At 41.4% G+C, this 17,925-nt stretch overlaps 1 protein-coding gene and 2 long non-coding RNA genes across 11 annotated transcripts in view; 2 read left to right on the top strand and 1 right to left on the bottom strand.

Annotated features, from left to right (window-relative positions):
- The window catches only part of PGM5 (phosphoglucomutase 5), a 174,451-nt gene extending 172,988 nt beyond the window's left edge, over nt 1-1,463 (bottom strand). For 4 of the 5 annotated variants that reach the window (NM_021965.4, XM_011518783.4, XM_024447573.2 and 1 more), the window contains exon 1: nt 686-1,463. In NM_021965.4, the coding sequence (NP_068800.2) occupies nt 686-946 (261 nt within the window). In that variant the 5' untranslated portion in view covers nt 947-1,463. The remainder of the gene's footprint in view (nt 1-685) is intronic. The other variant, XM_047423473.1, reaches the window with a different exon arrangement.
- Nucleotides 208-2,910, top strand: PGM5-AS1 (PGM5 antisense RNA 1). Of its 3 annotated transcripts, NR_121192.1 has the most exons (3): nt 208-351; nt 1,728-1,784; nt 2,469-2,910. It is a non-coding gene; the product is annotated as a PGM5 antisense RNA 1 (long non-coding RNA). The 3 variants fall into 3 exon arrangements; NR_015423.2 differs by lacking the exon at nt 1,728-1,784; NR_121191.1 differs by lacking the exon at nt 1,728-1,784 and having other exon boundaries at nt 208-471.
- Nucleotides 2,911-6,930: 4,020 nt separating this feature from the next.
- On the top strand, nt 6,931-16,093 carry LOC102723624 (uncharacterized). 3 transcript variants are annotated; one of them, XR_929893.3, is made up of 3 exons: nt 6,931-7,123; nt 8,232-8,388; nt 15,275-16,093. It is a non-coding gene; the product is annotated as an uncharacterized LOC102723624 (long non-coding RNA). The 3 variants fall into 3 exon arrangements; XR_428544.3 differs by lacking the exon at nt 15,275-16,093 and adding an exon at nt 13,846-14,229; XR_929894.3 differs by lacking the exon at nt 15,275-16,093 and adding an exon at nt 9,047-9,393.
- Nucleotides 16,094-17,925: the final 1,832 nt, after the last annotated feature.

Below are 17,925 nucleotides of genomic sequence, written 5' to 3'. Positions count from 1 at the left end.
CACTCCATCCCTACCCTAATTAAATAAATCATTCAGTAATTCCACTGGGTTAAAGAACCAAAATAATAAAAACCTTCAGGGCCTACTCTTGCCAAATATGTCAGGGATCGTGTGTGTGTGTGTGTGTGTGTGTGTGTGTGTGTGTGTGTGTGTGTGTGTGTTCTGAGACACCACTACTGTTAAATAGGCAGAGCTAAGACTTAGGGGACTGGCAGATTATTGCAAAAAGGGCACGGGGCAGAGGGACTATGTTGTGAGCCTGCGAAAGAAGTTTGTGTGGGGACTGTGGGCAGTGAATGCGTTGGGAACAATATGGAAAACTGGGAGCTGCCTTGGAATCTACAGGGCCGGGTAAGAGAATGTCCGAAAGAAAAATGAGCAGGTGCGGGATGTGCGCAGAGTCGGAGAAGAGTCCAGGGCGCCCGGAGTGGCTCCAGGAACGACGGAAACCCCTCAAGGCTTTTGGGGGCGGTGGGTACTAATAGAACCCAGTGTCCGGGGTGCACCGGGGAGGCTGCGAGCGCGGCGGGAGTGGGGCGCTGGAGGGTGAGGACGCGGGAGTGAGGTAGCAAAGCCGGGGCCGGGCAGGGGCCTCCCAACTGGGCCCGGAGGCAGCAGGGGGACAAGGGCTAGGAGAGGGCATGGCGGCGGCGCGGCGGGAAGCGAGGGGCATCCGGACACTCACCCCGTTGGCCGCGGCCATCTGCACCACGATCTCGATGGCCGTCCTGCTAAAGTACCTGCCGTCGCTGCCCACCACCATGGTGCAGCCCTGACGGTCGCGCAGGTCGATGGACGACAGCACGCTCTGGATAAAGTTGGGCAGGTAGTTGCGCTGGCCCTCGAAGAGGCCGGTGGGTCGCCGCAGACCCCCGCCGCCGGCCGGCCGCTGGTCCTCGTAGGGCGCGGTGGGCACTGTCAGCACCGGGATGGGGCTCCCCTCCATGGCGCCTCCTGGCCGGTCCTGCTGCGGCTCCCGGAGCCGGAGGGAATCTGCAGCCTGCCGGGGGCCTCCACCAGCCTGGCTGCGCGCCGGGACTCCGCCTCGCGCCCGGGCCCCCTCTCCAGCAGGTCGGCGCCCTGCGCCCTGCACCCGCCCGCCTGGGGACCGCCCGCCCCTCCTCTCCGCGCGGCCGCTCGGCTGACTCTCTCGGCAGAGATTGCTTCTGCCTTCCTGTAAAGTTTTCTCCCACCCACCTTCTCCGCTGCCAGACCGCCCGAGCTGCCCTCAGTTTCTCCCCAAGTTGGACTCACTTTCGGGGTGTCCCAAAAGCCTGATTCCAGGGCCTGCTAGCCCGACCCCGGTGACGCCTCCACCCGCGCCTGGCCCCAGCCTTCACCCGCGATCGCCGCCCTCCGGGGCACACCCTCCGCCAGAAAACAGCCGGCGGGCGGCGAGACTTTGGGCAGAGTCCGGGTTCCTCTCCGGCGCCCGGCCCGTCTCCCTGTCTCCCTGGGAGTGCGCAGCCTACACACACCAGTTTCTCTTTAGAACAAGGACGGGGAGGGATTTGGGAGGGGGCTGAAACCTTTTGCCATCAGCGAACAGCCTCAGCCAAAAATAACCCTGGAAAGGCGAGCTAAGAATGGTTATCTCCTGCCAGCGCTGAAATCGGAGGCTGGGCGCTGCGTGTGGGGTGTGTGTGTGTGTGTGTGTGTGTGTGTGTACCCTCCCACCCCGACCATTTGTTGAAGGGAATCACCACTGTCAGACTTCAATCCAACAGGACCCACTCGAGCCATCCACACTTTCCCCAGCCTCCTCCAAAACAGCACACTTTCCGGTATGGACAATTCTTTTTTTTTTTTTTTTTTTTTTTCACTTGTTTGTTTGTTGTGGTGGTTGCAACAGCAGCAACACAGACGACACATATTTCCCTATTCTTCTCGCCCTTCTCACCCTCCCTACCCAGCTCCTGCCTTAGAAATAGGCTTTCCTACACTGTATCTGTCCACACTGTCTGAACTCTTCCTTGAATTAATCGTTTTCAATAGGAGGGGGCTAAATCCCTTATTAATGCCCTACCAGGAGTGAATGAATAAAGCCAAGTTAAAGGAGACCTGGGTACCAGATACTGTGCTAGGTTCCTTTGCATGTATCCTTTCATTCTGCTGGAGCTAAAGATTTTCTGCCTCCTCTCCATAAAACGCACCCAAACTCCAAAACCAGGAAATTCTCCATAGAAAATAGGAGTGAAGAGAGAAAAGACTAACAGGATAAAACCCAAAGCAGGAAGAAAGTTCTATCTCCCATTTCTCTCAAGGAATTTTTGGACCCACCAAGGCTACTGTCCTGAAATATCCTGCTGCTTCTCCTTCCCCAAATATTGTCCACTTACTGAGAGTAAGGCTGACTTGCCGCAGGCTTATAAAGTGTTTGGTCACAGTAAGACAACTGTGAGTAATAACACACATTGTATACTGTTTTGCAATTGATTAAAGGCTTTGCATCTGTTTTTTCTTTGGAGGCTGAAGAAAAGAAGAATGGTATTCATGCAGTTCCCATTTTACAGATGAAAACAAGAGGACTTTTTCTGTGAAGTCAAGAAAGTGGTTACAATGGTACTTTCAGCCTGTCCGAATTATGTATTGCCCCTCCCCTTTTTATTAATAACATTGAAGTGTGATGGGACAACCACTGAAGCCGTCTGTTGAAACCTGCTGGGACTTTTTAGCCATTCTCTTCAACATAAAGAATGGGTGTTTTTGGAGGGGGTGAGAGGAATGGGGAAATGTTGTCAAAGAGTACAATGTTTTAGTTGAGACAGGAGGAATATATTTTGTTGAGATCTACAGCACAGCATGGTGACTGTAGTTAACAATGAAGTATTGTGTATTTCAAAATTGCTAAGACAATAAATTTCAAATGTTCTCACCACAAAAAAGATAGGTTTTGAGGTGATGAATCTATTAATTCTCTGGATTTAATTATTCCACAATGTATACATATATCATAACATCACATCATACCTCCGTAAATACATACAATTTTAATTTGTCAATTAACATTTTTTTAAAAGAATAGTGTGGCCAGTCGGGGAGGTAGTTTTTTTTTTTCCTCTAGTCTCTACTCAGTCTCCAAGATCCCATTTCCCATAAAGTTCCTGTCACCCAGGTGGAGTGCAGTGGCACAATCATGGCTCACTGCACCCTCTCCCTCTTGGGCTCAAGCGATCCTCCTGCCTACAGGTACATGCCACCACGCCCAGCTAATTTTTGTAGTTTTTGTAGACATGGGGTTTCACCATGTTGCCTAGGCTGGTCTCGAACTCCTCAGCTCAATCAATCTGCCCACTTTAGCCTCCCACAGTGCTGGGATTACAGGTGTGAGCCACCAAGCCCAACCCATAAAGTTCCTAACTTTTTATCTCCCTGGGAGTGCACAGCCTACACACACCAGTTTCTCTTTAGAACATACTTAAGAGTCTTGGCTTAGCATCCAACAGACAGAACTTTAACACTTCTAGGGATCTGTGCACCTGTCTATGGTGTGGGGTTTTTAAGATCTCTTTCTAATGACACTTTTTTTTGCAAAGCAGGACAGTTTCATTCCCAGAAGAGCAGGTATGGTAAATCCTTTGTTCCAGTAACGAAGACAATGATCCAAACCCTAAGCCTCAGAGAAGCCCAGAAACCCTCCAGGCCTCCATCTCTCTGCTCCTAGCACCTGCCTCTCTCTTGACATCAACATCATTCTCCCCTCTCACAGCCCAGCTCCTTCCACAGACCCAGGGATTAGGCACCAGCACCTCAGACTAGATTTTAGAGAATTACCATTCAAGAGGCAATCCTCTTCCCTTGGTTCCAATTTCAAGGTTCTCAAAGACTGGAACAGGGCTAGTTTGAGGCAATGTGCCCTACCACATAGCCAGAAAGAACCTTACAGTGACAAGGAAAACAAGTCTTCCAAAGTAAGGGGGTGCTGATCCCCAGAGGGAGGACAGATGGGCAACCAAACAGTAACCGGGCCACCACGTGCTTCACACTCACTGATCAAGGATTTCTAAAACCATTTGTCTTTTCTCTGAATTTATATAGGACTTTGTATCACTCATAAAGGAATGTCTTATAGGCTGATAACACCTTTCTATTCATGCTTATACCTAACATTTAGGCTAGGATAATTTCCTAACCTCAGTGTCCTCACTATAAAATGGGAATTATTATAATCCCTACCTCATAAATTGTTGGGAGGATTAAAATACTTAGTAAAGTGCCTGACTAATAGAAAGGCATTCAATAAATGTTAGCTATTCATGGTGTCATCATCATTATATTTACCATTATTACTAATCTCCTGTATTGCAAGAATTACAGTTTATATTTTTGTAGACCATCACTGTAGCTAAAGGGTCTTTGGGCCATAGGTGATATTCCATAAAGGTTGGTTAAATTGTTCTGTGGTTTTTGACTATGGAAACTCAGAACTCCCTCAAAATGTACAAAACAGATTTACCTGCTAAATAAATCTCTTCAAAGCTGACCCCAGGTTTAATTGAATTAATTCCAATGAATTTGTCACAATGATGGAGAAAGGAAACTTAGAGGGCCCCACAGTTGTTTGCTGGTAAAATGAGAAGTTTGGATTAGATCAATGTTTCCCAAAATATTTTCCTCAGAATGTTAGTGCCCCTCGAATCCTGCACAAAGCAAGAGTTTCATGACCAAGTAGCTTTTAAAACTCCTGTACACTCTACTCCCATTCTTCACAATGCACACTTTCATATTAAAAGTTCTGAGAGGTCCTCAACAGAAGACATCAATTAACTTTTTTTTTTTTTAAGACAGATTCTCACTCTGTCACCCACGCTGGAGTACAGTGGCCACCACTCCTGGCCTAAAAATTTTTTTTAACCTGGTGCTTCCCAATCTAAACTCACAGGGACCAGTTTTCTTAATGAAAGAGAATCAGACTAGCTTGTAACCATAGCTGGTGACATTCCCCTGCCCCATTCCTTGTATGTCCTCAGTGGACTAGGTCAGAAATAAATAAATTTTCCTGATTCTCAAGGGCTGGTCACTCCTTTGCACTGAGCTCAAAGCTTCTCTGTAGCATGGGTCACAATGAATGGTAGCCCTGATAGCCTAGAGTAGCCTTTCAGCCTTCTCTGAGCCTCTAAAGACTGAGGATTCTTGGCATGAAATAGGAGCAACTGATATATCCTTGCTTCCCCTGGGGACTCTCTTGCTCTCAAAAAGGCATCAGCCATCATCTCCATCTAGAGAATATACTAGCTGACTCAGTTTGACCAGCCTGTCCCAAAATGAGAATCTGGGTAAAATAAGTATTGAAACACTTCATTCCTTGTAGATTCACAAAACACATTAGCATATTAAAGACTATGAAGTTCTGCAGGAAAAAAAACCTATTTAACTTTAATCCAACATTGCCAAGTTTTATTTGACCATGGAAGATTTTTCCAAAACACTTACAAACAGATCAAGGACATTAATCTTTCATGAAACACTTTAGATCCCCAGGGTCCTCTCCAGCTACATCATTCTGTGATTTTCTTTTTTATTTATGATGCATTAAAAGATTAATCTCTATCAGACTTCCATTTAGAAATTCACCAGAATGTGCAAAGGCAGCAGGTAAAATTGCCGAAGGGTATTATAAAAATACCCTCCAGTGATTTTTGAAACTTAAACTGAAATATTTATATAACTATATATTTCAGTTTGTATATTACATATATATGTATATACACACATATATATGTGTGTATATATATTTGTGTATGTATATCTATATCTATGTATATATGGCATTATATCCATTTTACAGATGCAGAAACTGAGCTTTAGAGGGGGTGAGCAATTGGTCCAAAGCCACACAGCACACAGGTAGTCATTGATAAAGGTAAAAACAAGAGTTGAAGCCTGAGGTGTAAGGACACAGAGACAAGTACACAAATGTTTACAAGTTACACATATGACACGTGCCTTTAACATGAATTTCTGGAACATTCATTTAGAGGCCTTACCATGAAGACATCAGAGTGGCAGCAAGTTCTGTTGGAATCAGGGGAGCGTGTTCTTCTATAATCCCCTGGCTGACAGGAAAGCACATTGATTTGGCCCATGGTAGTTATACACTCCCATTGAGTCAGGGGCCACTTCTATGCACACAGGAGGTGCTAAAAATATGCTGTTGACTCATTGCCTCTAAGAGCAGAAGAAATGCCAAAAGTATAGGACAAGAGGCAGAAAAGCACATGGAAAAATGTCATAGGGCAGTCCTCTAAGGAGGTGTTAGATCCCTTTGAAATCTGTCCAAACACTTTCTTGTGCTGGGGAAAGTCAATTACATATTTCAAGCAACCCCACATGTCATACGAGTATCTTGTACGTGTTTGTGTACTCGTGTCTGTGAACTTACATCTCAGAATTCAACTTCTCGCTTCCCACCCTTATCAGTGACTGCCTGCATGGCCTTGGGCAAGTTGCTTTCCCTCTTCAAAGCTCAGTTTCTGCATCTATAAAATGGACATAATGCTACCTACCTCATGGGGTTACTGATCACATTTAAGGAGCTAATATGTGGAAATTGCTTACACAGTACCTGTCACATAATAAGGGTTTAATAAGTGTTTGATGTAATTGTTTTGATTATTACTACTATTACTAAAATAATAATTAATACAATAATAATGATTCTTATTCTCTATATTAGTATTATCTTTGAAAATGGGCATGGATTATGTCTACGTAACCCTTTTGGCACAATATCTAGCATTATATCACATACAAATTAGAGAATTTATGTTATTAAGGATGAAAAAATATTTTTACTGACCCTTAAATTCTTCGTAAGTAACTGCAAAAGAAGCCATTATCCCAACACATGAAATAAAAAAAAAATTCAGTTCCTCTGGAGCTTGTTTTTGGAGGTAGCCACAGGATACCTAAATTTTTTTTTCTTTTCAGAGAGACCGAGGGGCTCACTAGGTTGACCAGGCTGGTCTTGAACTCCTGGCCTCAAGCCATCCTCCCACCTCAGCCTCCCAAAGTGCTGGGATTACATGCATGAGCCACCACATCCAGCCTACCTAAAATATTGAATGCTGTTAATAAATCTCCTGAGGCCAGCATAAGAAGGTGATGGGCAAAACTAATGCAGGTATGTTTTTCTGGCTTTTTCATGTATTGGGCCCAACTTTGGAAAGCACTTACTATTAATGGCTAACTTGCAAAATTTGTGATTTATTAAAAGCAGATTTTAATTGTTTTACCTAAAAATAATAGGCCTCTGATCTGCCAAAGATGAAGATTTAATTTCTAGGTGTTCCCCACAATACCTAGGAACATCAGTGTAATCGATTATTAAACACTTTAGAACTATTCTCATCAAAGTTCTTTATTATATAATACAGCAAAAGAAAAGTTTCTTTTCTAAAGGCTTCTCTATACTTTTTTTAATAGTTGAATTTCATTTCTGAAGGCTCCTAAAAAGAATAGAATTCAGATCTTTATTAAAGAGGAAATATATTTTCCATGTTTAATTTAAATTACGTTCCATCAGTCATTTGCAATCTTAGCCTACACGGAATTTTTTTTTTGGTAGTTTTTATGTTTGGGCTTTAGGAGGGGATTCCCAATAATCTCTATATAAATATTTCTAATCTCTATATAAATATTTTAACATTTCAATGTAAATTAGTTTTTTAAAGCTATTTTATCCATAAAAATAATGAATTTGCATGGCTGAGGGTGAAATAATGTGTTATCAGGACCCCTCAGTTTTGGGGGTTGTGAGTAGATCCCATCTTCATGTTCCTCCAGCCCAGCCCAAGCCTGGCTCAGGTCCTCCTCCCCCATTTGTCAGGAACCACCATCCCCAGGGATTCTATGTGCCCTGCCTGACCAGTGTTCTCCATCAGAGTTTACCAATCTTTTGTTCATTCCCTCAGAGCACAGCTAAGCAAGAGTACACTAATTTGAAAATTAACTCAAGCAAAAAGAGGAACAATATCCCCAACACATTGCATTTTAACATAGGGTTTCCTGGACACACTGTTTCAACCCAAGAGTTGGGCTAATAGTAGGAGTTCCATCTGCTAAAATACGGCTGTCAGCTTCAGAGGGAAATTCATGAACGTCTTCGTAGTTTGTTTTTACGTTTCACTTGGCACTGTTTCTAAAATTTCCTCTGAAGCCAAAAAATAAGTTATTTCCCAGCACACTGGTCACTTTTCATTTATCATTGGATTGATTTTTCTAACTTGCAGTAGGAGCTGAAATCGACCAGGGGGTTCTTATCCAACAGACAGCAGCAAAACTCTTTGTGTATCTGCGTTCCTTTCAACAAGTGTGACTTCCTCAATGGCATCATTCGTGAGCGTAACACAGAGCTCAGCAATAACGTTTCTTCACTAACCCTACCAGGTATCCAACATAGGATGTTACTTCCTTTCACTGTTTTCTGACTCCTGGCAGATATTAATCATTGGGATTTGGGAACAAGGAAATAAAATTTCTGAGAATGCTTGGGAATTCCCAAATTCATATGATTTTCATAACACTTCACTTACAAGTTTTTGAAAAATAATAAGTGACTATAATAACAAGCAAATAGTCATTTTTTCTGTAACAGGATTACATGAAAAAGTTTAGTAGTCTTCTGTTTTAAAAAGATATGATAACAAATGATGATTTATTATTATGAGCCAACATATTGTAACAAGATTATAAAATCCAATAGCATTAATAGAGAAAACATTAAAAAGAAATGAATATTATCACAAAATAAATGCTAAAGAAAAGTCCTTTAAAGATTGAAAGGTAACACCACAAATACTTAATGCTTTAATCATTGTTTACATGACATTGTTAAACAAGGCTTCAATCATCCCCTCCAATACCATTTAAATAACATAACATTCTGATCTCCTGGCAAGATGAACAGCACTAGAAAGAAGCAACTGTCAAAATTGCTGATTTAAGGGCATATTTTGTTTCTAAAACTTGGCATTTCTTAGAACACCTCTCATAGGATTTGTAAAACATATACTATGCCTATGAACACATTAATATTTATTTGCAGAAATGGTTCACTGTTAGCAGTGGACAAGGCCATGAACACACACTTATAACACAGCAACAGATACAAGAAAGTCTGACTGAGGCTCCATTACTGCTCCTGTCCCGTTCACCTTAACTTTCATCTCCACATGTCAGCGCTTCCTCATCTTGCTTGACTTGAAGTCAGTGCATTTCTTCAAGCCAGTAAGTTCTCTATACTGACTATTAAGCTGTAATTCTCACAGGAAAATTAGAATGTTCCTTCCCATTTTCCTAATTTCTCAACTGATTTTTCTCAGAATTCAGAATCCATAAATATTGAAATGCCAGGAGAGAATTTCCAAATGGAAATGCTGTTCCCTTCGTCCATTTTCAGAAGAAACCGTAGCATAGTGTTACCCTTCTCTTCTCCAATTTTTTTTTCCTGCAAACTTATGGTTATCACCTCTTTAAGTGCGTAGCTCACAATTTTGCCTCCCCTGCAAATGGTCCCAATACAGTGAAGTGGGTCCTCTTTAGCTGTGTCTTTACTACATAATCCTGCATTTCTGACCGTAGGCAGGGAGGGTGACCCAGGGAAGGATCCCTGACTCAATGGGATTTCTCTTGCTGTCTCTAGAATTTGAACACCGGAACCCAGACGTACAGAGGCTGGGAGCCATTGTGGTGTGCTATATTGATGACGGCAGCAGTGGGTGGTGTGGGGGCAGTTAATTGACAGCTACCTGTTGCTGACATCCTAGGAACTACCTGAACCTCCTCTTTCCCAGTCATAAGATATCTAAGATTCTGCAGTATTCTTCATTAAATCCTAGCATGGTTTAAGCTAGCCAGAATTAGGTTCTGTTGCTTTCAATCAACAGAACCTTAGCTAATACATTGTTATTTCCTGGTCCTTGTTCCTTTAATTTTCCAGGAAAAGAAGGGAAAATGGCTTACGGGTTTTAAAAAGAGACAAGGGACAGCATACCATTTATGCAAAATTTAGAAGCACTCAAAGGAAACTCTGGAAAGCTCCTGAGACATATATAGGTAGGATCAGCATAAAACTTGAACAGTGTATCTAGATCATGGTTGCCATGGTTGCCTTGACACAATGAACATCTGTATCAAGATCATATTTTCTTGGTGGGACAGAGAGAAGCACAAGGCGGGACTCACATTTACAGTAATCCTTGTTTTCCAGGGACCATACAACCCAGTTTGTCTAGAGCTGTTCATCTTAAGTTTGTTATCCCACCATAATTATAAATAGAACCTCCTTTTTCTCTCAAGAATATCCCACTTTGGATGATAATTTCTATGACTACCCATTAAGAATATTTAATAACTATAGAAAACTGCTTCTCTATATTTTTTGTATGTTTGAAACATTTTATAACAAAAATATTTTTTAAGTTATCACCTACACAGAATATAGCTGCCAAATGCTCCTACTCTGCTATTCTAACCATGAATCCCTCTGGGGCCCCTTCCTCCTACGGCGCTTGTGAGGATGAAATGAAATAAGCTCTATGAAGTGACCAACAGTGACCAACAGTGACCAACACTGAATAAAATACAGCCACCATAGGTGGCCTTCCCTTATGTTCACCAAACTCCTGATAAGTTATTCGGTGATGTTTTAATCTTAATATTTTATGTAGATTATACATTCATCTGATTCAAAATGCAAAAGGTACAAAAGCGTATACAGTTAAAAGTTTCCCAACCCACTACCATTTATCTCCCTGGAGGCAACTGTTTCCAGATTTTTGAATATCCTTAAAGAATATCATATGTATGGAAAAGAAAGATTATATATTTATATGCATCTGTGTATGCATTTTCCTATGAGAGGCTCACAAAGTCTCCTTGAAGAGATATCATTATTACAAATACCCCTCAATTTACAATGGGGTTATATTCCAATAAACTTATGAAAATATTGTAAGCTGAAAATGCATTTAATACACTTAACCTACTAAACATCATAGCCTAGCTCAGCCTACCTTAAACACTCACATTAACCTACAGTTAGGCAAAATCATCTAACAGAAAGCCCATTTTATAATAAAATGGGCTTTGAATATCTCATGTAATATAATGAATACTGTACTGAAAGTGGAAAACAGAATGGTTGTATGGGTACTCAAAGTACAGCTTCCGCTGAATGTGTATTGCTTTCAAACTATCTTAAAGTTGAAAGATCATAAGTCAAAATATTGTAAGTCAGGGATTGTTTGTACTTCCACTTTACATGATGAAATTGAGCCTTGAAAAGATTAAGTGACTCGCCCAAGGTCACACTGGCAGTTAAATAGTGAAACTTGGATTCAAATTGTTCAGTCACTACATGTATTGTCTTGAAATTTGAAAAAGAGGAAGAGGAATTAAACTACTAAATTGAAGGAATATTTTAGGCATAGAAGAAGCAGATGCCTTCATGTCCAAGTGATTGTGAAAAGCCCACTTGCCCCAAAATATGTCTCCTGGTCGTATGAAATTCCACCATTTCAGATTTTTACCTGGGGATTTAGAGTAATCTGCTATTTTCCTAGAGCTCCCCTAAAATAGAAATTTTGGAAGGCTCAATATATGCTAACATTGGAAAACTCATTTTCTCCCCTTCATAAGGCAAGGTACTGAAGGAGGGGGCCCTACGGGCTGTGCAGGGACATCCTGGAGGCATGGGGAGAAGAAACTGAAAGGCAAGGTTGTATGGAACAAAGAATACCGATCTCAGGATTCTCTCTTGAACCTGCCCTAACTTTGTTCAAATAGACTTAGCCACTGACCTGCTGTCAAAAGACCACAGCCAATCTGACTTGTTTTCAACATAATGATGAATATTGATTTGGTCCCTTCATCCAACATTCTCAGCTGGATCTTTTTTTGACCAAGGATATACATTACTAGGCAAGTACAGGCAGTTAATTCTTCCACACGGGACTTTGGAGTTTCTGAGTTAACCAGAATCACCCACCTTAACATCTGCCAGTTTATACCCCAAGTCCTGACCAGTGCCCCCTACCTGCTATGCCTCATGTTTTCAATATAGCATAAAATCAGAAATGAAAGATGAAACATCATAGCCAATATCACAGAAATACAAAGGATCCTAAGAAACTGCTAGGTATAATTACACACTAACCAATTGGATCATCTAGAAGAAATGGATAAATTCCCAGACACATAAAACCTACCAAGATTGACTCATGAAGAAATTAAAAAATCTGAATAGACTAATAGCAAGCAAGGAGGTTGAATCAGTAAGAAAATGTCTCCCATCAATGAAAAACCCAAAACCAGATGGCTTCCCAGATTAATTCTACCAAATATTTTAAGAAGAACTAATACCAGTCCTTCTCAAACTCTTCCAAAAAGCTGAAGTGGAGGGAATACTTCCAAACTCATCTTACAGGGCCAGCATTACCCTGATTCCAAAGCCAGACAAGAACACTACAAGAAAGGAAAATTACAGGCCAATATCCTTGATCTACATAGATGCAAAAATCCTCAACAAAATCCTAGCAAACCAAATTCAATAGCACATTGAAAGAATCATTCACCATGATGATGTCATGGTTCAACATAAGCAAATCAATACATATAATATACCATATTAGAAAAATAAAGGATAGAAACTATATGGCCATCTCAATAGATATAGAAAAAGCTTTTGACAAACTTCGAAACACTTTCATGGTGAAAAAAAAACACCCAACAGATCACGTATTGAGGGACTGTATCCCAACAAAATAAAGGCCATATATGACAAACCCATAGCTAACACCATAATCAATGGTGAAAAGTTGAAACTTTTCCTCTACCATCAGGAACAAGACAAGGATGCCCACGGACACCACTTCTCAGGGTAATTAGGCAATAGAAAGAAATAAAAGGCATCCTAATAGGAAAGGAAGAAATGAAATTGTCTCTACTGACAGCATGATCTTGTTATATATAGAAAACCCTACAAACTTCACTAAAAAAAGGTTAGAACTCAACACAAAGAAGGGAACAATAGACACTGGGGGACTCCAAAGGTGGGAGGGAAGGATGGTGGGAGCAAGGGTTGAAAAACTACCTGTCGATTACTATGCTCACTGCTTGGGTGGTGGGATCATTAGAAGCCCAAACCTCAGCACCATGCAATATACCTGTGTAAGAAACCTGTACATCTACCCTCCTGACTCTAAAATGAAACATACAATATTTAAAAAACAAAAACAAATAAATAAAATTTGAAAACTGTTAGAACTGAACTGATAGGTGAAATCAGTAAAGTTGTAGGATACAAAATCAACATATAGAGCCTTGAACACAGCAACATCCAGCTGTCTGACACGAAAGTCTCAGGGGCAAGAAAACCTCTATATGAACTCAGAAACAATGAGCTAAGTTGTGTTTATGTCTGAAAGGATGTTAAGAACTTCATTCATGTTACATCAGAGCCAACAGAAAGAACCAACAGGAAACCTGTACCCAACAAACAGAAATGACAAGATGAAGGGAAAGCAGAGGTAAGGGCTTACCTTAGAAAGGGCAAGTGATTAGCTCAATATGCAATACAATGTTTGCTCCTGAGCCAAAAATTTGTACAATAATTTGGATATTACTTGCACAACCAGAAAAATCAGCCACTCATTAGGAAAATGTGTTTCTGTATAAGTCTTAGGACTCAGCTATCTATAATAACATGAAAAGACAATATTTTCATCCAAAATGAGTATTTTTGTTTGTCTTGGCTTGTTATTCTAATGTCAACAGCCTCTAAATAAACTGTTGAAGTACATGATATAACCACCTCTTTCTCCATCTTTCCCATTGCTCCCATAGGGTTTCAGTTGTGCAATTTCACCATTAGGAAAGCTTTTTGCTGAAATCTGGCTTTTCAAAGGGAGAGTATCCAGAAACAGAAGATGCTGATCTGGGAGGCTCTTCCTAATAGAACTGCCGCTTCAGTTTAACTTGAAAAAGCCCACACCCAGTTCCTAATGACAAACATCTGAACACCGGGTCTTCCCACGAGCAAGACCATGCTATGCCTCCTGCTCGCTCTGTTCTATAAGCAACCCACAGATTGCTCCCTGTGAAGAGGAGCCTGCCAGGGGAGCAGCATTCCACCAGACCCTGATTTAGCAAGATATTTCCGTATCATTCCCCCAACCAGCTGGAAGTCCTCCACTGCTCTTGTGTAAAAATCTAACTCATCTCGCTGAATTTCCTGATTTAAAAGTCTGATTCATTTCACCAAAAGTGTGACAGAAGGAAACCAAGTACACCATCTCTCTCTTACCAAACCAAAGCTATTGCATGTGCATTCTGGGAGAAAAAAATGGTCCAAATATGTTATGGAGGGGGTGCCAGCCCAGTGTCATCCTCTTACTATTGCCATAGGATCTTGGCTGATGGCATCAGAGGAAAAACAAGTTTATCGATTACTTTCAACCATTAAGCTCACTCCTCCATGAAAAATAAGTCACAAGTCCAATGTCTCTTATTAAAATAAGCACTGCAAAATATAAAGGAGTCACAGTTTTAAAATGGGACACATGTTCTCTAAGCGGTGAACCACTTTAGAGGTGCACTGTTTACATTGTATAAAGTCCCCTGGAGCCAGGGTTAGGAAGCGCATCTGTTCTTTGGTGTTCTGGGATGAAGGAGAAAGGAAAAAGGGCTGCCAGAAGTGAGTGGGAAGGAGCCCATGAGATAAAGGAAGTAAATCCATTTGCTGATTGCAATAATAATGGTAATACACGAAGCTATACATACATACATACATGCAAACTTTCACATTTTTAAAAAAAAGAACTGAAGGCTTCCACACATGTAATCAGCCCTTATGAACTCTCCTGATTAGCTGCAAGGAAATCTTCCCTTCTCCTTTTTCCTGCACCATCCTGGGCTCCCTTTTGACTTTTTTTTTTTTTTTTTTAACTTATAAACGATCAGCTCATATTCTGAAGTTTGTAGTCCCCTCCCGCCCCCTCTCTCTCTACACCGCTCATTTACATTGGCAGCTGTCGTGCTGCTGGGCATCCTCAAACCCACCAGTTTCCCTTTTATGTTTGAGCAGACAAACATGATCATGCACTAGGCATCACTGTGCCACTCAAAATGCTTTTTTGTTTTTTATTGCATCTGAGAGAAATCTCAAGGTTGCAAACCTGGAGTCAGAATTGTCTCCATGTGTCTCAGTGGGAAGAGTATCGTGTGAAGAAATAAGTTGATTCTACTAATCAAAAGGAATTTTTTTTGATATCAGGTCATCCTCCGAATGAATTTATATTACCGAGTGGAGGGTCACATGAAGAAAATGGTCAAACAGCACCACCTACAGCAAGAGCTGAGAAGTGCAGCGGAGCCGGGCTGAGTCAGGAAAGAAAAGCAAGCTGGGGCCTGGCTCAGCGCTCTCCCCTCTGCTCCTGTCTGCACGGAAAGATTAGGATGACAGTGGCAGGAAGCCTGTGCACCTAGTATGCATCACTTGAAGGGAACACACAGATTCCAGTAAACAGTTGGAAGGAAATGTTAATACCAGGCTCTGCTAAACAATATGAAATGACTCCTAGATGAGACAAGTGACTTTCATCAAAGTTTCCTGATACCTGAAAAGATAGCCCAGGGGATCCTGCACTACATCTGGTGTATGTAAATTAAGCGGGTTTTTTTCCCCTTTGTAATCAAGGCTCATACACAAACAAAATCACACTTTAGAAACGGCCTATTTCAACTTGTAACTAGCTTGCTTTCAGGGGCTCCAGGTCAAAAAGAAATAGAGCACAAAGACGCTTTCTCCTTAGGGATCATACACAAATTCACTCTGTCCGTTTCTTTCCCACATGGAGCAACAAAGCCATCAGACCTCTCCATCCACCCATCGGGTCCTTCCTGATTAAAGTGAGATAAATCACAGCCCTCTCTCTCCAGATGGCAGGCGACAAGAGGGGGATGCTTGCCTCAAGAAGTCCTCCCCATCCCTCTGCATTCATGCAAGCCCGAGCGGAGAGATGCAAGAAATTATGGATGCATTTTAATTCCCCAGACCCTGCAATTAAAAATGGAAATTTTTTGGCCACGCGTGTTGGCTCACGCCTGTAATCCCAGCACTTTCGGAGGCCGAGGTCGGCGGATCACCTGGGGTCAGGAGTTCGAGACCAGCCTGGCCAACATGGTGAAACCCTGTCTGTACTAAAAATACAAAAATTAGCTAGGAATGGTGGTGGGCGCCTGTAGTCCCAGCTACTCGGGAGGATGAGGCAGGAGAATCACTTGAACCCGGGAGGCAAAGTTTGCAGTGAGCCAAGATTGCACCACTGCACTCCACTCTGGGTGACAAAGCAAGACTTCATCTCAAAAAATGTTTTTAAAAAATGGAAGTGTTGTTCTTTCATTTGTAAATGTGTTTTGGTAAAAGAGGGGCAGTTTAAGCAACCCTTTTTATTGTCTACATTGTTAAAATTCATCAGACATGGACTCTTGACTCCGTTTTGCCTGGGCAGACCCAATTCAAGCATTTACAACAGCTATAACCTCCTCAAATCAAAAAGAGGAATCAGCATTATTGCTAAGTTCAAATAAGGTCTTGTTTTATTTCATTTTTATTTTTGAATGCAGCCATTCCTCCAGGTGCTATCATCAGGTAAGATTGTCAGTCCTGATTAGGTAAAGGTATTATTACAAAATGCAATTCTTAAAAATTCAGTGCCTAACTACACTTTTAATAAGCCTTTCCCCCTCCCCTATGTATTCTCCCTTAGACACCCCTTCTCAAATTTAAAATCACAGAAACTAAAATATGATGCCTAAAGAGAGCCTAGCGATTGCCCAGTCCTCTAATTTGATGAGTGGGAGTACTGAAGCCCAGAGGAGGTCAAGTAATTTGTTCCCAATGTCTTAGATAAGAAGAAAATGACCAGCTGGGATATCCCACTCATGTCAAGGCAGAGGCACAGGGCCACAGACTGTGGTTGAATTGTGCCACACTCCTACATCCTTCTTTAGGAATCACAGAACATTCCTGTGTTGAGTCGGAGTCACTGACTTCCTTTTCAGGCTGATTGAGTTCTGTCCTTACGGGCTGCGACAAGAAGTTTTGGTATTATGCTACACCAAGACCATTTATCTAGTTCAAGAAATGAGCACAGTCCTTAGAGCCCAGCAACTTTCCCCATGTCCAGTAAATGTAGCTTCTCCATTAGAAGCTGTCAGAATGGAGCCTTCTGGCTCATCTTGATTTTGATTTGTGCAAGAATGAATGGTTGTGCTAAGACAGCTTTCCTAGCTGATAGTGAGCAAAACTTTTTTCTCATAATCTATAAAAAAATTAAATTAGAACTTTTTTCTCACAATCTGTAAAAAAATATTAAATTAAATCTGGCTCGTCTTGATTTTGATTTGTGCAAGAATGAATGGTTGTGCTAAGACAGCTTTCCTAGCTGATAGTGAGCAAAACTTTTTTCTCATAATCTATAAAAAAATATTAAATTAGAAGCACAGAGTTTATTTCATGACTTTTATCTTCCTGCAATTTTCTTGTGGGCATAAATGATTTGTTTTTATCCTGCCTGCCCCCCCAATCCCTTTTCCAAGAGACTAAAAGAGTATCAAGTGCAAAGTAGAGACTCAAATATTTTTTAATAAACAGTGATCCCAGCCACCCAGTGCATGTTGCCAAATGCCAACCCCATAAATGATCGAACACATCATCTCATTCAGCCAATCAAAATCAAGTGCTACCTATTTTTTTAAGTTTTCATAGCCCTTGGGCATCTGCTTTCTCAGCATTTCCCAAACTTGAGTCATTCTCATCCTGCCTTCATAATTTTGCTCTGTCAATTACCTCTACTATTATTTATTTCATATATTTTTAAATAGCCCCACTTTTGAAACTTAAATACATGCCTTTTAAAAGGA

The sequence above is a fragment of the Homo sapiens genome, chromosome 9, assembly GCF_000001405.40.
Source record: "Homo sapiens chromosome 9, GRCh38.p14 Primary Assembly".
In the NCBI taxonomy this organism is placed as follows: Eukaryota; Metazoa; Chordata; class Mammalia; order Primates; family Hominidae; genus Homo; species Homo sapiens.
Note: the sequence above shows the minus strand (reverse complement) of the source record. Positions and strands in the feature narration are given on the sequence as shown.